The sequence below is a fragment of the Homo sapiens genome, chromosome 6 (assembly GCF_000001405.40).
Source record: "Homo sapiens chromosome 6, GRCh38.p14 Primary Assembly".
Classification (NCBI taxonomy): domain Eukaryota; kingdom Metazoa; phylum Chordata; class Mammalia; order Primates; family Hominidae; genus Homo; species Homo sapiens.
In genome coordinates this window covers 29287396-29314863 of record NC_000006.12, presented here as the reverse complement: position 1 = coordinate 29314863, position 27468 = coordinate 29287396, and the positions used below count along the sequence as shown (strand labels likewise).

At 37.0% G+C, this 27468-nt stretch overlaps 1 protein-coding gene, 2 long non-coding RNA genes and 1 pseudogene across 3 annotated transcripts in view; 1 reads left to right on the top strand and 3 right to left on the bottom strand.

Annotated features, from left to right (window-relative positions):
- Window positions 1-27468, top strand: part of LOC105375005 (uncharacterized) — a 50372-nt gene that overhangs the window by 19580 nt on the left and 3324 nt on the right. The gene's annotated exons all lie outside the window — the stretch shown is intronic.
- Window positions 1847-13163, bottom strand: OR14J1 (olfactory receptor family 14 subfamily J member 1). Its single transcript, NM_030946.2, has 2 exons — window positions 13077-13163; window positions 1847-8202 (listed from the first exon to the last, which is right to left on the bottom strand). Exon 2 carries the CDS (start codon window positions 8172-8174, stop codon window positions 7209-7211), a length of 966 nt encoding a protein of 321 aa, NP_112208.1. The 5' UTR covers window positions 8175-8202; window positions 13077-13163; the 3' UTR covers window positions 1847-7208.
- Window positions 23114-24268, bottom strand: OR2B4P (olfactory receptor family 2 subfamily B member 4 pseudogene; annotated as a pseudogene).
- LINC03003 (long intergenic non-protein coding RNA 3003) overlaps window positions 24424-27468 on the bottom strand; it is a 66468-nt gene continuing 63423 nt past the window's right edge. The window contains exon 2 of the long non-coding RNA NR_134630.1: window positions 24424-24738. This is a non-coding gene — a long non-coding RNA (long intergenic non-protein coding RNA 3003). The remainder of the gene's footprint in view (window positions 24739-27468) is intronic.

The following is a 27468-nucleotide window of genomic DNA, read 5'->3' as shown; positions in this document are numbered from 1 at the left end:
GGGGAATGGTAGTAGAAACAGACAGGAAAGAAATGTTTTAAATAAAGTAAGATGAGAGAGATCGTGCACATATTAATGAGGACAGGGTGCCATGAACTGATAAATGTAATGAACTCAACCTTCTGCACTTGAGATCCAACCACATAATAAAAGGAAAAAAGAAATAATATATGCAATTTTGTCTATATATATATATCAAAATTAAAATAGTGATAACCTCTAGGAATCACTATTAAAGAGGAAATTCTTATTTTAATGTTATTTCTACAACATTTGAAACAATTTAAGGAGCATGAAGTGTAATTTTTGTATTCAAAACTTAAAATGTGAATAATTAGTAATAAATTTAATAAAGGAACAAGACTGCCTCACTGAAAGCCATGTAACGTTACTGAAAGAAATTAAAGACCTAAAAAATGGGAAGCTATGTTGTGTTTATGAATTAAATGACTCAATATTAAGACTTCTATTTTCTCAGAAATGATCTATAGATTTGATGCAATCCTAATAAAAATGCCAGCATGCTTCTTTTTAGTACGAATTAACAAGCTAATTCTAAAGTGTATATGGAAATGCAGAAGACTTGGAAAATCAAAGCCTAGAAAATCAAAAGATTAGAGGCATTAAACTACCTGACTTCAAGAATTGTTATAAAGGGCACGGCGTGGTGGCTCATGCCTGTAATCCCAGCACTTTGGGAGGCCGAGGTGGGCGGATCACGAGGTCAGGAGATCGAGACCATCCTGGCTACCACGGTGAAACCCCGTCTCTACTAAAAATACAAAAAAATTAGCCAGGCATGGTGGTGGGCGCCTATAGTCCCAGCTACTTAGGAGGCTGAGGCAGGAGAATGGCGTGAACCCAGGAGGCGGAGCTTGCAGTGAGCCGAGATGGTGCCACTGCACTCCAGCCTGGGCGACAGAGCAAGACTCCGTCTCAAAAAAAAATCGTTATAAAGTTGCTGAAATCAGTATGGTATGGTATTAGTTAAAAATAAACACATAGATCAATGAAAAAGAATAGTAAGCCCATATATTGACAAGGTGCTAAGGCAAATCAATGGGGGAAAATAATGTCTTTTCAATAAATCACACTAAAAACTATATATCTGTATAGAAAAAGAATGATCATTAACACTCACTTTATACTACACTCAAAAATTAACTCAATAAGGATCACAGACTTAATTAATATAGAAGCTAAAACTATTCATTTTCTAAATGGTCACATAGAAAAATACCTTTATAATTTTAGGCCGGGCGCGGTGGCTCATGCCTGTAATCCCAGCATATTAGGAGGCCAAGGCAGGTGGATCATTTGAGGTGAGGAGTTCAAAACCAGCCTGGCCAACATACTGAAATCCCATCTCTATTAAAAATACAAACAAACAAACAAAAAAGACAGACAGAAAGAAAATGAGCCAGCATAGCAGCACACACTTGTAATCTCAGCTACTTGAGAGTCTGAGGCACGAGAATTGCTTGAACCAGGAGGCGGAGGTTGCAGTGAGCCAAGATTGCACCACTGCACTCCAGCCTGGGTGACAGAGTGAGACCCTGTCTCAAAAGAAAAAAAACTTTGTAATTTTAAAGAAGGTATTTTTGGAAGATAGGACACCAAACATGAATTATAAAACACAAAGTTGATAGATTGAACTACATCAAAATTTTTAAAGTTTTACTCTCCAAAAGAACCTGATGGAAAAAAAAGACAATCACAGGAGATTAGAAAAAACATCTGTAATACGTGTATCTGACAAAAGATTTTTATCCAGTATATATACATATATACACACATATGTAAATGTCTTCATAATAGAAAGATTAACAACTTGTTTTAAAAATGGGCCAAGTGTCTGAGCAAAAACTTCACAAATGAAGACACACAAATAACTAATAAGTCCATGAAAAGATGTTCAACCTTGTTGAACAGGGCAATACAAAATAAACTCATCGATATATATCACCATGAATGTGTTTAAAAAGCTAAAAGTTTTTCAAAATACCTGACAAGGTAGCCAAGATGGTCTTGATCTCCTGACCTCGTCATCCGTCCACCTCGGCCTCCCAAAGTGCTGGGATTACAGGCGTGAGCTACCACGCCCAGCCCTTTATAACAATTCTTGATTATCTAGGGAATATAATATGGAACAACTACTTTAGAAATCAGTGTGGGTGGCTGGAAAGATGGTGGAATAGAAACAGCTTCGGTCTGCAGCTCCCACTGAGATCAATGCAGAAGCCAGATGATTTCTGCATTTCTAACTGAGATACCCGACTAATCTCACAGGGACTGGTTAGACAGTGGGTGCAGCCCAGGGAGGGCTAGCCGAAGCAGGGTGGGGCATCGCCTCACCCGGGAAGCGCAAGGGGTCAGACAACTCCCTCCCCTAGCCAAGGGAAGCCATGAGGGACTGAGCCATGAGGAACAGTGCACTCCAGCCCAGATACTACGCTTTTCCCATGGATTTCGCAAACCACAGAACAGTAGATTCCCTTGGGTGCCTACGCTACTGGGGTCCTGGGTTTCAAGCACAAAACTGGGCGGCTGTTTGCGCAGAGACTGAGCTAGCTGCAGGAGTACAGCTAAGGCAGTGTTTAAAGGGAAATTTATAGCACTAAATGCCCACAGGAGAAAGCAGGAAAGATCTAAAATCGACACTCTAATATCGCAATTAAAACAACTAGAGAAGCAAGAGAAAACAAATTCAAAAGCTAGCAGAAGACAAGAAATAACTAAGATCAGAGCAGAAATGAAGGAGATAGAGACACACACAAAAAAATTCAAAAAATCAATGAATCCAGGAGCTGGTTTTTTTGAAATAATTAACAAAGTAGACTGCTAGCCAGACTAATAAAGAAGACAAGAGAGAAAAATCAATAGACACTATAAAAATGATAAATGGCATATCACTGCTGATCCCACAGAAATAGAAACTACCATCAGGGAATACTATAAACATCTCTATGCAAATAAACTAGAAAATCTAGAAAAAATGGATAAATGCCTGGACACATAAACCCTTCCAAGACTAAACCAGGAAGAAGTCTAATGCCTGAATAGACCAATAACATGTTCTGAAATGGAGGTAGTAGTTAATAGCCTACCAACCAAGAAAAGCCCAGAACCAGACAGATTCACAGACGAATTCTACCGCAAGTACAAAAAGGAGCTGGTACCATTCCTTCTGAAAATATTCCAAACAATAGAAAAAGAGGGAATCCTCCATAACTCATTTTATGAGGCCAGCATCAACCTGATACCAAAACCTGGCAGAGACACAACAAAAAAAGAAAATTTCAGGCCAATATCCCTGATGAACATTGATGTGAAAATCCTCAATAAAATACTGGCAAACCGAATCCAGCAGCACATCAAAAAGCTCATCTACCATGATCAAGTCAGCTTCATTCCTGGGATGCAAAGCTGATTCAAATATGCAAATCAATAAATGGAATCTATCACATAAACAGAACCAATGACAAAAACCACATGATTATCTCAATAGATGCAGAAAAGGCCTTCGACAAAATTCAGCAGCCCTTCATGCTAAAAACTCTCAATAAACTAGATATTGATGGAATGTATCTCAAAATAATAAAAGCTATCTATGACAAACTCACAGCCAATATCATACTGAATGGGCAAAACCTGGAAGCATTCCCTGAGAAAACTGTCACAAGACAAGGATGCCCTCTCTCACCACTCTTATTCAACATAATGTTGGAAGTTCTGGCCAGGGCAATCAGGCAAGAGAAAAAAATAAAAGGTATTCAAATAGAAAGAGAGGAATTCAAATTGTCTCTGTTTGCAGATGACATGATTCTATACTTAGAAAACCCCATCGTCTCAGCCCAAAATCTCCTTAAGCTTATAAGCAATTTCAGCAAAGTCTCAGGATACAAAATCAATGTGCAAAAACCACAAGCATTCCTATACACCAATAATAAAAAAAACAGAGAGCCAAATCATGAGTGAACTCCCATTCATAACTGCTACAAAGAGAATAAAATACCCAGGAATACAACTTACAAGGCATGTGAAGGACCTCTTCAAGGAGAACTACAAACCACTGCTCAAGGAGAGAGGGCACAAACAAATGGAAAAACATTCCATCCTCATGGGTAGGAAGAATAAATATCATGAAAAATGGCCATACTGCCCAAAGTAATTTATAGATTCAATGCTATCCCCATCAAGTTACCATTGACTTTCTTCACAGAATAGGAAAAAACTACTTTAAATTTCATATGGAACCAAACAAGAGCCCACATAGCCAAGATAATCCTAAGCAAAAAGAACAAAGCTGGAAGCATCATGCTACCTGACTTCAAAGTATACTACAAAGCTACAGTAACCAAAACAGCATGTTACTGGTGCCAAAACAGATATATAGACCAACAGAACAGAACAGAGGCCTCAGAAATAATGCCACACATCTACAACCATCTGATCTTTGACAAACTTGACAAAAACAAGCAATGGGGAAAGAATCCCCTATTTAATAAATGCTGTTGAGAAAACTGGCTAGCCATATGCAGAAAACTGAAACTGGACTCCTTCCTTATACCTTATACAAAAATTAACTCAAGATGGATTAAAGACTTAAACGTAAGACCTAAAACCATAAAAACCCAAGAAGAAAACCTAGGCAATACCATTCAGGATTTAGGCATGGGCAGAGACTTCATGACTAAAACATCAAAAGCAATGACAACAAAAGCCAAAATTGACAAATGGGATCAAATTAAACTAAAGAGCTTCTGCACAGGAAAAGAAATCATCAGCAGAGTGAATAGGCAACCTACAGAATGGGAGAAAATTTTTGTAATCTATCCATCTGACAAAGGGCTAATATCCAGAATCTACAAAGAATTTAAACAAATTTACAAGAAAAAAACAAACAACCCCATCAAAATGTGGGCGAAGGATGTGAACAGACACTTTTGGGATTCTCCAGGTTCAAGCGATTCTCCTGCCTCAGCCTCCTGAGTAGCCGGGATTACAGGTTCATGGCACCATGCCCAGCTAAGTGTTTGTATTTTTAGTTGAGATGGAGTTTCACCATGTTAGCCAGGATGGTCTCAATCTCCTGACCTCGTGATCTGCCTGCTGCGGCCCCCTAAAATGCTGGGATTACAGGCATGAGCCAATGCCCCGGCCTGACAGACACTTTTTAAAATAAGACATTTATGTGGCCAACAAACATATGAAAAAAAGCTCATCATCACTGGTTATCAGAGAAATGTGAATCAAAACCATAATGAGATACCATCTCATGCCAGTTAGAATGGCTATCATTAAAAAGGCAGGAAACAACAGATGCTAGAGAGGACGTGGAGAAACAGGAACACTTTTACACTGTTGGTGGGACTGTAAACTAGTTCAACCATTGTGGAAACAGTGTGGCGATTCCTCAAGGATCTAGAACCAAAAATACCATTTGACCCAGGAATCCCTTTACAGGGTATATACCCAAAGGATTATAAATCATTCTACTATAAAGACACATGCACACGTATGTTTATTGTGGCACTGTTCACAATAGCAAAGACTTGAAACCAACCCAAATGCCCATCAATAATACACTGGATAAAGAAAAGGTGGCACATATACACCCATGGAATACTATGGAATACTATGCAGCCATAAAAAAGATGATTTCATGTCCTTTGCAGGGACATGGATGAAGCTGGAAACCATCATTCTCAGCAAACTAACACAAGAACATAAAACTAAACATTGCATGTTCTCACTCATAAGTAGGAGCTGAACAATGAGAACACATGGACACAGGTAGGGGAACATCACACACTGGGGCCTGTTTGGGGGTGAGGGGGTAAGGGAGGGATAGCATTAGGAGAAATACCTAACGTAGTTGACAGGTTGATGGGTGCAGCAAACCACCATGGCATGTATATACCTACGTAACAAACCTGCAAGTTCTGCACATGTACCCCAGAGCTTAAAGTATATAAAAAAAAGAAAAAATCTCATGTGGCAGATTAAAGAAAAAAAACTTACTAAGGTATATGCATATGTAGATATTATAACCATTAATTCAAAAAAGTCCTATAAAAACATTCCCCATTACTGAGCAATTGCTTATTCCCTTTGTCATTAAAACATGCACTTTGATTTACTTCAAAACTGAGGGGACTAGTCCAGTTTTGTACTCTTGTAAATTATGAGTCTTTCTTGAAGAAATCTGCAGCATTACACAAAATTGAATCAGATATTCAGATTCACAAGATTTGTGCCTCCTTATCTCACACATTCATAAGTTGGAACTCTTCATTTGCAGTTTATCTATATTCTGTTTCATGGAACTAGGGAGCATCCCCTGCCTAACTCTGTAAAACCAATTTGTCAAACTCTTGTACAGATCAGAAAAGTAAAGGAATTAATATAAATACCTCCAGTAATAGGGATGCACAAGGGTGATGACAATTTTATTAATAGATTATAGTAGTATATGCTTATATTTATAGATTATACACATCACACACACACATAAACATACACACTCACATTTGGGTAATAATGCATTTGCCATCAGTAAGGAACATAAATGACCTTATTGTTTGAGTCAGACAAATATTAATTTGAATCAGAGCTTAACTACCATTTATTTGAGAAATCTCAGGAAAATTAACTAATCCTTCCTAAATTTATTGTTCCTATTGGCAAAATGGGGACAATATGTTATAGCTAGAAGAGTTGTTTTCTTGAGTCAAAAAAATGTATATATATAAAGCACTTGATACTTACTAGGGGCTGAATAAATTGTTGAAATCACCACTGTAATAATAGTAAAAGAACTTAATATGAATACTTAATATGGATAGAAAACTAGGAGGCCCACTGGAAATACCATATATGCACCATAATATTAACCCAGTTAGCTTCATCTATCTCCAACCTTATTTGTTAATAACAAGTTTTAAATTATACAGGCCAGACTCCAAACTAATTGTCTTTCTCCTTCATTTCAGAAAAATTTTCCAAAGATGACTTAAAATAACACTTGAATTGGAGGGAGGAAGGAAAGCTAATATTATTAGAGCACAACATCTTAAATTTTAAAGAATTATATTTGAGAGGAATATATACAATAGACAGCTTGGAAGAGCATTCTGGGTAGAAATAAGATTCACCTCTCTTCCAATCTGAAACATAATAACAATGCCTTTCATTTGTATGGTTCTTCAGAGTTTAAACATGGCTTTTAAGCACATTTTTCTCTGAGGAAGCTCTTCCTTTGACAGCATCTTCCTCAGTGCTGCCTTCATGGAATCATTCCGTAAGCTATAAATGACTGGATTGAGTGTTGGAGGTATCACAGTATAGAATACGGAGAATACAAGGTCCACAGTCGATGAGGAATCAGAAGGCAGTCTGAGAAACTCAAAGCCTGCAGCTGAAAGAAAGAAGGTGGCTACAAATAGGTGTGGTAGGCAGGTGGAGAAGACCTTGGTCCGGCCCTCAGCTGATGGGATTCTCAGCACTGTAGAGAAGATGCGAATGTAGGAGAGCACAATGGAGATCAAACAGATAAATGCTGCAGACGTTGTGAATGCAGCCAGTGCAATCTCATTAATGAATTCATAAGAACAGGCTAGTTTCAGCATCTGAGGAACATCACAGAAGAATTGGTGAATGACTCTCTTCCCACAGAGAGGTATGGAGAAGTTAATGGCAGCATGCATGAGCCCAGAGAGGCCCCCAGCAATCCACACAGCTATCACTGCATGCCTACAGGCACGGGGATCCATAATAGTCTCATAATGAAGTGGTTGACAGATTGCTGCGTACCTGTCATAAGACATCACTGTGAGAATGGCCACTTCTGATGAGGCCAGAGCTATGAAGAAGAAAACCTGAAGAATGCACTGAACAAGAGAAATGTAACCGTTGCCCATAAGTGAATTTGCAATGGACTGGGGGACTGTGACAGAGATGAAGCAGAGGTCCAGAAGAGAGAGGTGCTTTAAAAAGTAATACATGGGGGAATGGAGACGACGGTCCACGGTAATGATGGTGATAATGAGGAGGTTGCCTGTCAAGGCCAGCAGGTATGTCACCAGAAATACCAATGCATGTAAAATCTGAAGCTTACGCTCATCAGAAAACCCCATAAGAAGGAATCCACTCATTGAAGTCAAATTGACCATAGTCTCTCTGAAGATACCAAGTGTGACTCTGTTTAGGAAGCCAAAGACAGTAGGAAGAAAATGCATGACATCTAATATATTTGTGTGTCAAGTAACTCAATTCCTCAGCAAGGAGGTACTGAAATGAGATGAATTTATTTTCATTGCGATTAGTTAATATTCAATTCAAAAACGTTTTAGCAATTATTCAGAAATAGAATCCCTGAATGTGATCAACAAGTCATAAACATTTTCTGGAGCAGAGTTTGCATTGTCAAAGAGGGAGAAATTGATGGAAATGATAAAGTCTTTACCTTCAATAAAGTCAATGAAAATGATTCTAGCATACCAATCTCATTACATCTTCTATATGATGCCTTAGTATTACAACGATGCACTATATAGCTTCTTTTGCTAACCAGCTAACATGAAGTTATTGATACCACCTTGCAAATGGATCTAGAAACAGCTCAGAGGCAGATCTAGAAACAGCTCAGAAGCTAATCTAGAAGAGAGGTTAGCTCAAAGAACAGTCATATTTTTTCCTTTGAAAAGCTCTTAACACTTTAAAAAGATTACATTTGATTGTAATAAACTTTTCATAGAAATTTTGAAAAATGAAATGTCTCAAAATTGTAAAATGCAGATGCCACTGATATCAGGCATTGAATCCTGAGCTTTGGAGATCTTGCAACTAAGTGACAAAGGTTCACCGTCAAAGAACGTTTAATTCTCAAAATTCTTATGACAACTTGGGGTTGGACATTTTCAATCAAATCCATTTGAAGAAATAAAGAGATTTTCTAAAATCTATGTGATAGGCAGAATGCTAGGTAGTAGAGTATATATCTTTCTAGTGCTGTGTCTCATTGTGAGTTCCTGAATGAAAAAATATATATATATATTTCTTTCTAGGACTTGAAATATATTAGATAGTGGGAGCCCATTTCTTAAAATAACCAACCAAACAAAAAAAAAATCTATACCAGATGTAACAATTGTTAGGAGGATTAAATGATGTAACTTTTCCTATTTCATTTTAAATGTGCTATTATTATAGAATCAACACCATCATAGAATTATTTTGTGTATCAGAATCACTCTGCTAACTAATTTTTGCCTCTTTTTTTTCTTTTTAAATCTGTGCATTTGTTGAAAGGTCAATCAGTATCATTTTCACTGAGTTTCTTCTGCACAAAGACTATTCCTTCATCATTTCTGTCCATTTCTTCACCCTTGACCAAAGGCATCTAACATATAGGTTCTAAGTAAATACTTATTTAACGGGATATCTACATAATTGATTTCAGTTCTATATAGACAAAAACTTAATGGCTAAGTTACATGAGTTAATGCATCTGATTTTGAAGTAACTGCATCTGATATTGTAGTTTGTTTCATTTATTAATCCCTAAGCTGTAGGAAAAGGTTAAAAATCACTTAAACCAAGATCTTTTTGATTTTGCTGTAATTTATTTTGAGAACTGACTGAAACTAATTTTTAGGAAATTTTTTTTTTCCACAAGGAACAGTCTCAGGGCTGGAAGGGCCCTTAATCCCTCACTGATGGTCACATCCCCTGCTTCATGGCAGTAGGAATCAGAGGAAAACAGGGGTTACTTTCTTCAAAGTTTCTCTAGCTTTCTTGCTCCTACAGTTTTCCTGGTCCTCCATAAGATATAGCTTAATCCCCAGTGCTGCCAATCTTAATGCCTGGCTTAACTTGCTCCAAATATTGGATGGTAGTTTTGGAATTTAAAATAAAATGTGAATAGATGAAAGCAATTCACTTATATTTTAAAACTTACTGTCTCTGGCTTGAAAATCAAAAGCATCGTGTTACTTACCACTTCTAATACACATTGTTAATGTAATCTAAGAAAAACCTCTATCATTTAGCCTCCCCATTAAGGTTTCTCCATAGAGGGAAGGAGGAGAAAAATCGTAAGAAAAAACTTGAATGCACACACCATATTCTCCTCTCAACAACTCCCACCAACCTATTTTCATTTTTATTTTCTTTGAAGACATAGATAATAATTTTTATATCTGATTAATAAATGGAAAATTTCATCATTTTAATTTCACTAGTTCCAAATTGTATTGATTAATTCATCACTTATCAAATAAGAAGGAAGGGAATCATATACGTGTGGAGATACTCTTAGGATTAAGGATGATACTGCGAGAACATATAAAACCTGTGTTCAATCCTTCCAAGTCATACCTGCATTAAATACTTTATTTATAATAAAACTAAACATTTTTTGGTGGAGAGTATAATGATTCTTTCAATGTCATTTGTTTCCCCCAAGCATTTTTTTCTGTCTTCACTAACCACTTGTATGCAAATTTTATCCTACAAAACATTTCTAAACTTTTCCGTTTTTTACCTCTCATATGTTGAAACCCTCAATTTTTTTGAAAGTAGTTCTCTTTTAGGTTCAGTGGTACATGTGCAAATATGTTATGTAGGTAAACTCTAATTCATTCCAGTAGCTGCTCTAAAGAGTTAGCATCCTGTGTCTCTTCTTCACTATTTTCCTCTATTTCCTGGGAGGTAGCATTGCCAATAACTTCAATGAGAAAACATAGGTAATTATATGTTAAGCCCCTCAGTTTCCTACCTGTATATAAACGAAATGATCTCTAACATGATTTAATTCCACCCACTCTAGGGTTTCAAAGGCAGAGAAAGAGCTCTTTTTTCCTTTCCAAGTCAGTGACCAACCCTATACTCAACCTTGCTCTATCGCAAAGGGCATCTTTGCCACAGTATGCACTTGCTCTCTCTCTCTCTTTCATAATAGTGCACATTTTATGTGTGTGTGTGTGTCTGTATATGTGTGTGTATAAAATCAACACAAACTCCATGTCTAAAAATTCTAATAATGTTGATTTACTGAGATTACTCTTAATGAACCAGATTGTTTCACTATGCTCTGTTGATAGATGATAGATTAGAGATAGATAGATGATAGATAGATAGATAGATAGATAGATAGATAGATAGATAGATAGAGATAATCTTAAGACTCATCCATTTTAAAGAAAAAGAAAAGTCTTCACTCCACACTTAGGACTTACTTATAATGTCCCTTCTCTTTACAGCCATGCTTTATGAGCAGAATAGGGTATCATTCTGTGCCCTGGCACATTTGGTTCAATTCTTGAACCATGTTAATCATTCTTGCTTCATGAGTCCTCACAAACAGCTCCAGCAAATCCACAAATAACTATCACAACGGTAAATTCAATGCACTCTTTCTATTTTGTTTTTATTTTAAATTTTGTTTCTCAAATATATGACACTATTATACAGTTCTTTCTTCTAAAACAGCTGACTTCCATTGGCTCTATGCCACTTAGTTCTGGTTTTCTATTTCCTCTCTGAATATTTTTTCTTAGTCTCGTTATCTGGGTCTTCTTTTAACATTTATTGAAATTTGATGGTTTCCAAAAATTTGTCCTGACACTTTCTTTCTGTACTTTTGTTTACTCAAAAATATTCCTGTGCCTTTTAAAGAAGACAGATTAACTATTTTCCTACACAATAGAAAATAATAGTCTGCTGTTTCGAGCACTACCATAGGTCTTCTGGGTTGCAGGTCCCCTGGGTTGCAGGTCCTCATATCCTGCTTCACGGTTGGCACATCACTGTCCCTGAATGGGTCTTTCCCATAAGGACTCATCTCTTCTCCCAGACATCTCCCTGTCACTGTGACCTATTTCAAAGAATGGCACAACTTTGCTTTAATCTGTATATCCAATCAAACACCAAAATTTTATTTGCTTACTATCTGTTGTAGTTATTACATCTTGCTGTCACACGTACAGATTAGTTCAAACCTTCATTATCTCTGGCAATATTTTATTCTTCAGTTTTATGTATTTCTAATCCAACTTCAATGCTGTTGCCAGGACAAATGGTGATGCAGATCACATCTTGTAACATTAATTTAGCTTTTAGCTCTTTATTGACTTGATTATGCAATGATGCCCAAAAAGCTTAGGATGGCAAACAATATCTTTACAATGCTTCCTGACTGCCATTCCAGTATTATCTATCATTGTGACTTCTCTAACCCCATGCCAATCTCCATGTCTAATAATGGCGACTGACTTAATTACTCTTAATAAATCAATCAGGTTGTATCACCATGCTGTGTTTCTTTTCTTAAATCACACTATCCCTCCTGTCTGGAAGTCCTCCCATTAGAATTGCCCCTCATGGCTGAGCACGGTTGCTCACACCTGTAATCCCAGCACTTTGGGAGGCTGAGGTGGGCAGATCACCTGAGGTCAGGAGTTCAAAACCAGCCTGGCCAAAATGGCGAAACCCCATCTCTACTAAAAATACAAAAATTAGCCGGGCACGGTGGTGGGCACCTGTAATCCCAGCTACTAGGGAGGCTGAGGCAGGAGAATTGTTTGAACCCAGGAGGCGGAGGTTACAGTGAGCCAAGGTCGCGCCACTGCACTCCAGCCTGGGTGACAGAGCGAGACTCGTCTCAAAAAAAAAAAAAAAAAAGAAAAAAAAAAGAAAAAAAATCTCCCCTCATTTGTTTGGCAAATACTTAACTATCTTTTAACACAGCTACATTGTCTCTTTCCATTTATAATTCACCTGAGTTTAACTGTCGACCCAAGAAGAATTGTCACTCTTTGGAGCCCAGATTGCATTCATTTAAGATTCCTTATAATTTATACTAACTTTTTTATGCTTTATATACTTTTTTATAATTTATACTACCTTATTTGCATAGATATCGCAGCTTATTTAAACTGTTCTTAGTTAAGGAGTGAGAAATTATGTATCTTATTTAGAGTTATAACTTTGAAGACTCGCATAGTCGCTGGCACTAAGCAGGTGCTACATAAATGTTGGATAAATTCCATAAAATTTGAAGAAGTTTTACTCACCAGAGTGGATCTCTCGGTAGAAACAAATCTCAATTGATCCTGAGACTGAGCATCTTTGTTCTAGAATCAAGCTGGTGTTTCAGTCAGTGAAATTTCCATGTAAGGAAAGGACTGAAACGCTTTTATATAGGACCAAACAGGATGTAACTGCCCAGGGACATTTAAATTTCCTATTAACTAAGGGGTATTTGAAATGAAGCCAGTGCTGTCCAGGCACTGGGGACAAAAATCCTGTGCAGGAAAGTTGGTGTTTCAGATAAAAACTATGAGTTCAAAGCAGGGGATTTCATGGACCTCTCCCTCAGGGAATTGCCTCAGTGGGAAGTAGTTAATTATTATCTTGGTTTAGCTAACTCTTGTAGTCGATGCATTTCAGGTTAAAAAAATGAATATTATACATAACTCGTTTTCTGTAACACAGGTTCACAGGTTTTTCTAGTAAAAAGGATTTTTTTCATTAATTAACAGTTTCATTTTAACTGGTCACCAATAAAATCATGCATGATTGCACTGGCCTTATGTAAAAAAAAAAAGGAATACTTAGTAATTATTTACATAAACCCATACATAATAGTAGAATCAAAGAATCTCAGAATAAAACCATGACTTAGAGAGCTAAACTTTCTTCAAACATGGTGTCTTTTCTAAAATTACTCTGAAACTGATAATCCAGCCCTCATTTTAACAATCCCCCAGATGAATAATTTTTACTCAAAAGTGAATGAATTCCATTCTTAAATATGTGTGATTATGGAAAAGGCATTTTTTTAAATTATACTTTAAATTTTAGGATACATGTGCACAACGTGCAGGTTTGTTACATATGTATACATGTGCCATGTTGGTGTGCTGCACCCATTAACTAGTCATTTAGCATTAGGTATATCTCCTAATGCTATCCCTCCCCACTCCCCCCACCCCACAACAGGCCCCAGAGTGTGATGTTCCCCTTCCTGTGTCCATGTGATCTCATTGTTCAATTCCCACCTATGAGTGAGAACATGCGATGTTTGGGTTTTTGTCCTTTGTGATAGTTTGCTGAGAATGATGGTTTCCAGCTTCATCCATGTCCCTACAAAGGACATGAACTCATCATTTTTTTATGGCTGCATAGTATTCCATGGTGTATATGTGCCACATTTTCTTAATCCAGTCTATCATTGTTGGACATTTGGGTTGGTTCCAACTCTTTGCTATTGTGAATAGCGCCACAATAAACATATGTGTGCATGTGTCTTTCTAGCAGCATGATTTATAATCCTTTGGGTATATACCCAGTAATGGGATGGCTGGGTCAAATGGTATTTCTAGTTCTAGATCCCTGAGGAGTTGCCACACTGACTTCCACAATGGTTGAACTAGTTTACAGTCCCACCAACAGTGTAAAAGTGTTCCTGTTTCTCCATATCCTCTCCAGCACCTGTTATTTCCTGACTTTTTAATGATTGCCATTCTAACTGGTGTGAGATGGTATCTCATTGTGGTTTTGATTTGCATTTCTCTGATGGCCAGTGATGATGAGCATTTTTTCATGTGTTTTTTGGCTCCATAAATGTCTTCTTTTGAGAAGTGTCTGTTCATATCCTTTGCCCACTTTTTGATGGGGTTGTTTTTTTCTTGTAAATTTGTTTGAGTTCATTGTAGATTCTGGATATTAGCCCTTTGTCAGATGAGTAGGTTGCAAAAATTTTCTCCCATTCTGTAGGTTGCCTGTTCACTCTGATGGTGGTTTCTTTTGCTGTGCAGAAGCTCTTTAGTTTAATTAGATTCCATTTATCAATTTTGGCTTTTGTTGCCATTGCTTTTGGTGTTTTAGACATGAAGTCCTTGCCCATGCCTATGTCCTGAATGGTATTGCCTAGGTTTTGTTCTAGGGTTTTTCTGGTTTTAGGTCTAACATTGAAGTCTTTAATCCATCTTGAATTAATTTTTGTATAAGGTGTAAGGAGGGGATCCAGTTTCAGCTTTCTACATATGGCTAGCCAGTTTTCCCAGCACCATTTATTAAATAGAGAATCCTTTCCCCATTGCTTGTTTTTGTCAGGTTTGTCAAAGATCAGATACTGGTAGATATGTGGCATTATTTCTGAGGCCTCTGTTCTGTTCCATTGGTCTATATCTGTTTTGGTACCAGTACCATGCTATTTTGGTTACTGTAGCCTTGTAGTATAGTTTGAAGTCAGGTAGTGTGATGCCTCCAGCTTTGTTCTTTTGGCTTAGGATTGACTTGGCAATGCAGGCTCTTTTTTGGTTCCATATGAACTTTAAAGTAGTTTTTTCCAACTCTGTGAAGAAAGTCATTGGTAGCTTGATGGGGATGGCATTGAATCTATAAATTACCTTGGGCAGTATGGCCATTTTCACGATATTGATTCTTCCTACCCATGAGTATGGAATGTTCTTCCATTTGTTTGTATCCTCTTTTATTTCATTGAGCAGTGGTTTGTAGTTCTCCTTGAAGAGGTCCTTCACATCCCTTGTAAGTTGGATTCCTAGGTTTTTATTCTCTTAGAAGCAATTGTGAATGGGAGTTCACTCATGATTTGGCTCTCTGTCTGTTATCGGTGTATAAGAATGCTTGTGATTTTTGCACATTGATTTTTTATCCTCAGACTTTGCTGAAGTTGCCTATCAGCTTAAGGAGATTTTGGGCTGAGACGATGGGGTTTTCTAGATATACAATCATATCATCTGCAAAGAGGGACAATTTGACTTCCTCTTTTCCTAATTGAATGCCTTGGAAAAGGCATTTTTGAAATCATGATAAGGACACTTAACATAAAATCTACCTTCTTAGCATTGAAAGAAAATTTTTTAAAACTTTTAATATCAAAAATTTAATATATTGTATATTCTACTTGGCAAATGTTTAAAAATAGCTCTAAGTTCCCATGTGTGTGTGTATATATATATATATAATGTATATGATTTATATTATGTGTATTATATATATGAATTATATATATAAATATAAGAAACTGAATTGTAAATGTTGCAGACCAATAAACTTTATTTTGATCTCCAGTGACAAATATAGTACCACATTAAGTACCACAATATGGTGTCTCAGTAAGGATCACACGTTTTCATAAGGCTGTTTATGAACAATAAGAGACAATTAATGAATGATTAAAAAATACTCAGGTTTTTTTCATTTTGAGGAAAGAATTTTCTATTTTAACATTGACTTTGATTGTGATCTGATCAATGTTTTTGTAAAAGCTTTGGATACAGATGGTAGGTGGATTCAATATTATACATGGTGGTTAGTAGACAAATAATCCAAAAATTTCAACATACAACAATAATGGATAATTTAGAGAAAACTGTGGGATAGTTCAAATAGGATAAACTTTAATAAAATACTTTCCAAGATAAAGGCACATTAAAATTTGAGAGATGTGTGTTTTTCTTTTTTTTAAGATTGATTAAATCTAATCAATACATGCTAAGAGCATCCAATGACAAAGAAATCAGTTACAAAAAGACCCTATAGTAATATTTCAATTGATGAGTAATATTTTCACTTTACTCTCTTCATCAGACCGAAACTGAATGAATCATTTCAGAATTAAATACATTAAGAAAATTGTAGACAAATGGATGTGTTAGCAAACAAAAGCAATTGTCATTCATTCCAATTACTAGAAAGCTCAGGGTGACCTATATTTTCAAATATTAAAAATGTTTGTCTTTTAAAAATAAATTTAAATTTATCTATGTTCCTAGAATCAATCTAGTAATAATGGTTATTAGTTATATTCAGATAGTTGTTTTCTCAGCATAAACAATAATTTTCAAAACCTGTTCCTGATGATACAGTAACTACAGACTGATATTAAGAAATATTTATTTATTTATTTTTTAAAGGAAGGGTTTGAATCCCTTACAAAAGTTTTGTGGAGACCTTTTTGAATTCAGTGAAAAAATCTAATTTTGATATTGTAAAATTCTTTTTCTTTTTTTTTCATCTACACTTTCAATTTCCAACTCCTGTGTCTATGCCTTTAATATTCTGACTCATAATTCATGCCATGAGGATGTTTTTCCACAACTCCTCTAGGATAAAAGAAAGCCTACATTAATTTATGTTAGTAATAATAACATTGGACAGTCTGAAACTGCTTGTGGCTTATATAAAAGGGGTTTTCCACTAGAAGTTTAACTCAGGCAGGGCGAGGTGGCTCATGCCTGCAATCCCAACACTTTGGGAGGCCAAGGCAGGCAGATCACTAGAGCACATGAGTTCAAGACCAGCCTGGGCAACATGGTGAGACCCTGTCTCTACAAAAAATACAAAAATTAATTTATCTATTATTTTCTATTTTATTACTTTCAATTATTAAATATTTTCTTTATTATTTTCTGGCTTCTACTGACATGGATTTATTTTTCTTTTTTTCCCTAGCTTTTTAAAATTTTCTATCCAGACCACAAAAAATTTTCTCCATATCAGCAATAAGACTGTTTTGCTATCTTATTTATGTGTTTACTGGAGTAGCGCATTTTAATTTTTTTCAATAACTTTTCTTTACATTCACAACTTGGCTAACTGGTGCAAAAGCCCTAGCTTCTGGCCTGTCTTGGCTTTTGATAGGCCTTCTTCACTAAGCTTAATCATTTCTAGCTTTTGATTTAAATAAGAGACATGTGACTCTTCCTTTCACTTGAATACTTAAAGGCCATTGTAGGATTATTAATTGGTCTCATTTCAATATTGTTGTGTCTTAGAAAATAGAGAGGCCTGAAGAGAGGGAGAGATGGTGGAACAGCCAGTGGGTGGAGCAATCAAAACATACATCATTTATCAATTAAGTTCACTGACTTACATGGGCAGTTTGTGGTTCCCTAAAACAATTACAATAGTAACATCAAAGATCACTGATCACACGTCACCATAACTTTCACCTGCGTCCGTGTGAAGAGATCACCAAACAGGCTTTGTGTGAGCAATAAAGCTTTTTAATCACCTGGGTGCAGGCGGGCTGAGTCCGAAAAGAGAGTCAGCTAAGGGAGATAGGGGTGGGGCCATATTATAAGATTTGGGTAGGTAAAGGAAAATTAGTCAAAGGGGGGTTGTTCTCTAGCGGGCAGGAGTGGGGGTCACAAGGTGCTCAGTGGGGGAGGTTTTTTGAGCCAGGATGAGCCAGGAAAAGGAATTTCACAAGGTAATGTCATCAGTTAAGGCAAGGACCGGCCATTTTCACTTCTTTTGTGGTGGAATGTCATCAGTTAAGGCAGGAACAGGCCATTTTCACTTATTTTGTGATTCTTCAGTTACTTCAGGCCATCTGGGCATATACATGCAGGTCACAGGGGATGCGATGGCTTAGCTTGGGCTCAGAGGCCTGACAATAACGATACAATAATAACGAAAAAGTCTGAAATATTGTGAGAATTACCAAAACGTCACATAGAGATATGAAGGGAGCACATGCCGTTGGAAAAATGATACTGATAGATTTGCTCTTGCAAGGTTGCCACAAACCTTCAGGTGCAATAAAGTGAAGCACAATAAAATGAGACAGGCCTATATTTGGTCGAACATCATTCTGGGTGTGTTTGGAGAGGTGGCTCCTCTCTGCAGGCAGGTCCCCATTGACTTCCCAGCTCTCAGCAGAGAGGATAGCTACTCTCTGCAGCTGGTCATCTCGTCATCTCTCAGTTGTCCTCTACCATGCTATTGCTGATCCTGGGGCTTTTATGGACCTCAGAGGGGAGGAAGTGCATATGGAGTGGTCCATCCGTGGCCATGGGTGGGCAGAAAAAGGCACCACAAGACCCCACTCCAGTCCACCGGTGTGGCAGCCTGACTCCCAGCCTTCAGGCTCTTCCTGGCCTGAGGATGGGGCCTTACAGGGACCCACTCCCTTCCACCTAGGAGCCCGTCTGCCTCCTGACGCCTTTCATGGTGCCAAGGGGCACCTGCAGGCCAACGCTTTGCCCGCATCCACTCTTGTCTGGCCCAACATCCAGAGGGGGCTGAGGTGGCAGGGCTCGATCATGCATATACCTGGCAGGGTTGTGACAGTGCCTGGGCTCAGCTCCACCTACTCCTAGATTGGATCAGTTGCAGAGAGTGGGAAGAGACCAGGCAGTAGGAGCAGGCACCTCTGAGCCTGCAATGGCAAAGGGGGCCTTCCCTGGCTCTCAAGAGCACACGGAGGCCCACATCTACTGTCTCCATTTGGACAGCTGCAGCTGTGCTTGGGGGTGTGGGGCTCCTGCCTGCTCCCAGCCCTCAAGAGCACATGGAGGCCCAAGTCTACAACCCTGACGTGGGTGGCTGCAGCCGCGCCCAGGGTGGGCAGAGCTCCTGCCTGCTCCCAGCACACAGGAGCCCCGGGTATACTGCACCGACTTTGGCGGCTGCAGCTGTGCCTAGTCGGGCAGGGGCTTTCAGGGAGGCCCTGGATAGAGCAGAACGCAGGCCCTGGGTCTGGCTGTCGGGAGTGGCAGGCTCCGAGGTCACCCTAACGCCTCGGGTGACCTGTATAGAGCAGACCCCAGGGGACTGGCCCTGGGAGGCCTGCACAGAGCCTCCTCCCAAGGCCCAGGAACTCCAGCATGCCAACTGCAGATCATGGGACTTCTCAATGTTTAGTGTACTATGAATTACATTCAGTGCTTTTAGGTATTATGTATATTTAAACGTTGTGGTTTTCATCTCTAGAAGTTTGATTTTTTAAAGTATCTTCCTCGTCTCTAAATTTTTGAACATATGGTAAACAGTATAATTGTTTTAATGCCATAACTTGAATCATTCTAACATATGTGTCAGTTCTGAGTCAGGTTTGATTTATTGATTTTTCTCCTTACATCATATTTTCCTGCTTTTTTTCATGCTTAGTAAATTTTCATTGGAAAATTTTCTTTTACTGGGTATATCTGTAATCCTATAAATACCCTTGAGTTTATTCTGGAGTGTTACTAAGTTACTTGGATACAGTTTGATACTTTAGTCACTTGTTTTGAAGATTTGTTAGGTAAAACCAGAACAGTGTTTAGTTTAGAGCTAATTATTGAAATTCTTGAAGCAAGACACTTTTGATTGCTAAACTCAATGCCTCAGGAATTCTTAGGTTTTCATTCTGGCACATAAATAGCTTGAGAACCCACAAAATTCCCAGCCTTTGCATAAGCATTGGGCACTATTTACCTTAATCCATTAAGTGGTTCTTTCCTCATTCTTGGATAGCTTCCTCACACACATGCAAATCAGCGCTCAGCTAAACTCAAGCAGGGCCCTCTCTCTGTGTATTAGTCCATTTTCATACTGCTATAAGGAAATACCCAAGACTGGGTAATTTGTAAAGAAAAGAGGTTTAATTGACTCACAGTTCCACATGGCTGGGGAGGCCTCAAGAAACTTACAATCATGGTGGAAGGTGAAGAGGAAGCACTGACCTTCTTCACATGGTGGCAGGAGAGAGAAGTGCAAGCAGGGGAAATGCCAGAGGCTTGTAAAACCATCAGATCTCATGAAAAGTAACTCACTGTCACGAGACCAGAATAGGAGAAACCACCCCCACGATCCAGTCACCTCCCTCCCTCAACATATGGGGATTACAATCGAGATGAGATTTGGATGGGGACACAGAGCCAAATCACATCATTCTGCAAGTCGTGAAAGATTTTTCTATGTTTAGCATTATCTTTTCTGACACTTTTTATGACAAATTCTGCCTTAGTCTGGATGCTCAGTTCTGCCTTTTTTATTTCTCAGTTTTTTTCAAAAGTTGTATTCCTTGATGTAAAGGTAAATGTCTAATTTTATTTCAGTGACTTGTACATAGTTGCCATCAATAAATATTTACCAAATAAAGGAATGCATTTTCATCATAAGATAAACCTCATCATAGCAACAGCTCATTTAAATGTTGCTGTTTATGTTGTTTTATAAGATATAACAAATAAATATTTTTATTTAATAATTTACTAATATTATTTTTAAATCATGTTGGGTAGTTAATCCAAACCAACAATATATAACTGTGATGAGAGTCAGAAAATTTCTATTATTTCTAAAAGTGTTGGGAATTATCCACTTCTCCTAGAATAAATATGATAGTAGACTTTGTTCTGATATAAATATTTTTACCTTATTGAATATGTTTTCCTACTGCTCCTATAGCACAGGGCCTATTTCTATTTAATGGCTTGCCAATTATTTGCATAATTGATGTAATATTTAGTAACTTTTAATATTTAATAACTTTACTAATGTTTTGGTAATACTTTCAGGAATACTTAAAATATTTCCTTATTAAACTTGTTCAACATTGCCTTATTTTGATTTGCTTGCTTGATAGTACAGGTACTATAATTTATTTAATGATATATTTAAATATATAGCCTTCCAAAATCTCAGGCAGCATACATGCAGAAATATTATACCTTTATAAAGTCAAAAATTTAAAACTGTTTAAAGATAAAATTTTTCTCTGGCATATCTGTAATAATGAAAGTGAATCAAAATATATTTCTAGGGCTTGGGGGACATATCTTGAGCAGCCACCCACATCAGCAAAACATTTCTCCAAGCACCCATATTTTAATTTAAAAATACATGTGATTTTCTCAACATAATATATCCATGTTTATTCCAATGCAACACAGTAGTTTCAATGTTCAATTATTTTGAGTTCTATTTATACTTCTAAGTTAAACAAACAAACTCAAGAATATGTTAACATTTTTATTAAATGACCACAAAAACCCCCAACATTCAACCTCTGAGAAATATACTGCTTTAATAGAATAAATAAATACAATAAGCGTTTTTTTCATAATACATATTAGGATGTATTTTATTTCATGCCAATAGCAGACTCCATGTATAAATGAACCATGGGTTGGGAAAAATACTGTGATCAAAAAAATGCATAATGTCTAGGATCCTTTTCCAGATTATACTAGAATTAAGGAAATGAACTCACTTTCTCTTATATAGCCACAGGCCTTCAAAAGTGTTCCCAAAAACCTTTTATCTGTGTTCCAGCTTCTCATCTGTCTCACCACCGGGAGCCACAGAAAGTGGACATGCTCACAGTACAGGAAATAGAGCTTTGCACTGTTCTTTTAATGATGTGGATTTTTTGGTGAACTCACTCTATTTTGTCTTGGTTTCTTCGGCTCATAGGTTTGTGAGGCAGTTTATAGCAAAAGGCTATAAAAGTCTTTTTTTTCTAAATAAAGATAATAGATCAACCAAAGTTTTGAATTCCACATGGTATTCTCAAACCCCCACACTGAAATAGGACTAAATTACCCAGTCAAGTGGTGAAGAAAGCTGCCTTGTCAAAACATGTAAATTCCCACTGAGTTTGTGTCCCTAAATTAGAATTTTTTCCACCTCAGGTTTTTCCCCTGCTGATCACTATCCAAAGCATCTCACTGTTCATCTTTCCCCCCAGAGTAAGTTCTATTTGCATTGACCTAGGCCTCATTGTTGTGTACCACAAGAGCATAAGATTGACTAAGGCAAAACATTTATGGCAAAAAAAATTTGTATTTAAAAGAATTCATGGCAAAAAAAATATATTTAAAATCATCACCTCTAAATTTGTTCATTAATTTCTCTTTCCATAATTCCATCTTAATGTTTTTGAACTAATTGTCTCTTGATTTTACTTGCCTGTGAGACCTTACAAAAGCATTTGAGGGTGATATAATTGGACATCGAATGTTAGAAGATGGCTAAATGGTGGCAATACATGTTGATCAAAATTACCTCACGATAGTACTGGCATGTTTTTCTAAGAGTTGGGATCATTTCTAATTTAATTGGGATTCATTTATAAACAATTTATGCTAAATATATTTCCTAAACTTTCTCAGTATCTTTTTCTCTAGCTATTATACCATTTTCCCTTACTTTAACTAGATTAGCTAGTCATTAGGAATAGGGAGAAAAAAGACTGACTTGATGGAATCCAATATTGTAAAGCAGATAGTCTCGTAAGTGAAAAAATGCTATGTAGATTTTACCAAGAGTTAATTGTTTTTTTCTTAGTCTTGTTCCACTTGTAAACTTTGTGTCACTTGATACTGTTCCCTCATCAATTCCATGTCCAACATCTTTTTGAAAGTCAAACACATCTATCCTCGCTTCTTAGGACTTCTTTTCAGATATCATCTTGTCTTAATCCAAAACTCTTTAGTCAGTGACCTTCTCAGGGCAGCTTTCACATCCTTGTTTCTCAATGTGTAGATGAATGGGTTGAGGGTGGGTGTGACAATGCCATAAAAGAGAGCCATGATCTTCCCCCGGTCATGAGAATAGCTAGAGGGAGGCTGGACATACATACTGATGGCTGTGAAGTAGAAGAGGGAGACCACCAGCAAATGTGAGGCACAGGTATTGAAAGCCTTCCAGCGACTTTCAGCAGAGCAGATTCTCATTACTGCCTGAGCAATGAACACATAAGTGCCCAGGATGAGGGTGAGTGGCATCAGGAGAAGCAAAGCGCCTAGTACATTGAGCTCCATTTCATTCACACGAATATCAATACAGGCTAGTTTCAAAAGGGCTGGAACTTCACAGAAGAAATGGTCCAACACCCTCTGTCCACATCTTGGGGCCACCACTGTGAGAGTGGACTGGACAAGGGAGTTAGCAAAGCCACTGATCCAAGTGCCAGCAGCCATGTGGATACAGCGTCTATGGTTCATGATGACTGGGTAGTGAAGGGGCTTGCAAATGGCAGCGTAACGGTCAAAGGCCATGATGGCTAGAAGTATGCATTCAGTAGAACCCAGGGCCAAAAATATATAGAGTTGGGCAACACAACCCCCATAGCTAATGGTCTTTTCTGGTCCCCGGAGGTTGACCAGCATCTGTGGGACAGTGCTGGTGGTATAGCAGAGGTCCAGAAAGGATAGATTAGAGACAAAAAAGTACATGGGACTGTCAAGCTGGGGATCCAGATGGGAAACTAGGATAATGGAGATATTTCCAAATAGGGAAAAGATGTAGGCCACCAGAAAGATTACAGAGGGGTGTCTCTAGCCAGGGACGGTCAGAAAATCCCAATAGGATAAAATCATCTAGCGAGCTTTGATTGTTGATCCACATGTTAGCACTGGGAGGTGAAATTCCAGCTGAGACCTCTAAATACCCACAGTTAGGGATAGACATCAACAGTAGGAGGAAGCCACTGAGAATTAGAGATCAGAGATGCCAAGATGAAATTTTCATTTTTGCTCTAATCGGCATCTGTATCTTCATTACAGTAAAATATCATTTGCATCTACATCCTGATTATGATGAAATGTGGAGACAACATCATCAATGTAATATTGAAAGATTACTGAGAACAGAATAAATACCACACCAGCAACATAGTTGGGAATTTTGCTTATTTAATATATGTCTTCTGGTTAGCTATTCACTCCATTTGGGTTTTCATATCTTCTCTTCTAAAAAGTTTTAGTATACTACCATCAACTCTACATGCATGGATATGTAATGGTGGCAACAGAGTGTAGATTAAAATAGAAGGAAAAGGCAGAACTTCCCAAAAACAGGTCAAACGAAGGCCGGCATGAAGACTACAGGAGGATGTGCAGCCAGGGAGAACGAAGACATCTTGGCACGTTCATCTGCTTGGTACAGATCCTGGTCAGAAAACACCATAAGAACTGGAGCACTTTATAAAGTCTGCATGATAAAAGGATGGAGTGCCATGACTCGTTTTACCCCTTCCAAGCTTTAATGCTAGTCCTACTCAGAACATTTAAAAATAGGGAGAAAAAAGCCAAAAAAACAAACAAAATTACACACACAAAAAGACAATCAGTCCTTAGAAATTTGTTTGCTGTGAAAATGCAACTTTAAAAATATCTGGATACATTTGATGAAATTTTAATCTCTGGAAGAAATCACCAGAAAGAGTTTTAAATATGTGAATCCTTGAAATTTGAGGATGTATATGAATTTGTAATCTCTCAGCATCATTCTCAGCACATATAAACTTAATCATTTTCCCTCTCTCTCCCTTCTTTATTCTCATATTTTCTAATTACTGATACTATTTTTTCCACCAAAATTGCCTCTATCCTGCTCTTTGCCCATCCAAATTACACAATTCCTTTATCATATAATTTCTAAAGAATAACTCCAATTGCAAATTTTTCCATTCCCTACAATCCCAAATTTCTTTTTTTGTTTGACTCTTATCTTTTAGTAAATTTGTCTTGTGTTTTTCTCTAGTTGTTTTATAAAAGACATTTATAAAAGACTGGGATTTCCTCCAAATCCCAGTCATTCCATTCATTAGCTGTGTGACTTTGGAGATGTCATTTAATCTTTGTGTGCTTCAATTTTCTCATCTTTCAAATAAGCATAATTATACCCATCTCATAGAACTAGTGTACAAATTAAGGAATAGAGTGTACATTGCAAACATAGCTCAGTTCTTGTCATATACTAATAATTCAATGACTATTAACAATTATTATATACTTACCTAATTATGAATCCCCAGATGTATTACAGTTGTTTTATTTTTATGCATTTATGCAGTTTATAATGATATTTGTAACAATAAACAAATATTTATTAGAGGATAGTAAACAAAATGTGACTGCTCTGAAATCAGCTCAGGATCCTCTATTTACTTTTCTGATCCTCTCAGTTGCCCTATGTCATATTCTTCTTGTGATCCTGACTTAGTAGGGTTCATGTACTTAGTTGGCCAGCTCTATATTTCAAATCGTGTCATCTGAGTTACGGTATCCGTGTGAATGAAATGAGTGACAGTGAGAAATGATAGGGATAAAAACTTGCTTCACAGCTAAACATAAGAATCACTAAATTCAAAACTGATTTTAGTATCCATCCATTAACACTTCTAATTTCTTCATTTGCTTATAGAATAACAATTCTTTTGGTATGCAGAGGTCATCATTCTCTTTGAATTATAATTGCATACATGTCACGTAAGATGTCAGCTGGAGTAATTTCTTCTTCACCATTGTCTCTCAAATCTATCTATTAAATCTGTATCTATCTAAAAACATTAAGGCAGACATACAGAAAATAGTTCAGTGTCCCATGATCTCTAGCTTTCAAACTGGTATTCTTACTTACAATTGTTCTCTCATCTTCAAAACAACCTAGCTGGTTTGGAGAACAGTCTTTTCATCGTTAAAATGTGGCCATGTACATTTCAATTCAAAATTATTCAGTGGCTCTCCATATTCTGACACATTATATTAAAATGCAACCTTGGACTCAGGCCTCATATAACAATCGCTTGAACCATGCAGACATATTCACTGATCCAACCAAACTTGTGACCTTCCCCCTTGACCCCTTGTATTTATGCTGATGTGAAATGCCATTGTTGTTATGTATCCTGTAAGGATCATCTCAAATATAAAAATGTCCTTAAGTATTTCCTGCTCTCCTTTCTTACTGGTCGTCCAGAGCATTTTATTTGTAATTTCTTGATGATATACTCATTTATAAATATGACATATATACATGATATATATATATCATGTATATATGATTTGATAATTTTTTCATGATATACATATATACTCATATATAGATATATATCTATATATGGGAGAGATAGAGATTTTTTTCTGTCTTTTTTGTACTCGATATGTTTTCCTGACTATATCGATTACATACTCTTTGAAAAGAGTCAGCACGTGACTTTTAGACATAAGAGTATATGTTAAATATAATAGATATTTACTACATGTTAATCAATTTGAATTTAGTTGAAACCAGCAATCATGAAGCTTTTTCCTTTGGTGCTCTGATATGTTATTCCTAGATTACATTAGCATTTTGATATCATTATTTTTCACCTATGACCTCAATCAGTTTCACTGATATTTCATCACAACCAAACCCATATACATCATTTACTAATTCAGAGCCCAAGAGGTCAAAGCAGAGTTAAAATATGCCCCATTGGCAGTTTTAGGGTTTTATTGCTAATTCTCAAATTGATGTAACTAATTAACCAATAAATACATTTATTTTACTTACTAAAAATGCATGGACTTTAAATATGTCACTTCATACCCTTGTGACCTGGTTTGTTCAACCAGATCAAGAGAATTAAAATACTTGCATATAAACTCCATAGTACTTTAATGACAATTAAATGTATATTTCCTTTGTAAATTAAAAAAAAACTTATAAAAGACCACATATAATACAAAAGCAGTAGCTGCAATATTAGTAGGACTACTCACATGGTAAAATTACATAGAAGTGATTCTAGAAACTTCTGGGACGTCTCCTTTTTTAAACCTTGTCATTTTGTATCTCTATAATGCCACTCTTCATTCAAACTGGTGCTATCCAATTCCTTTCTTCTCCCATTTCTCACCTGGGACAGTGAGTCTTTAGGAATAGAGCCTTAAA

Excerpts from the sequence above, each read along its gene's own strand:
- OR14J1 (NM_030946.2), bottom strand. The coding sequence starts at position 8,174 with ATGGTCAATTTGACTTCAATGAGTGGATTCCTTCTTATGGGGTTTTCT.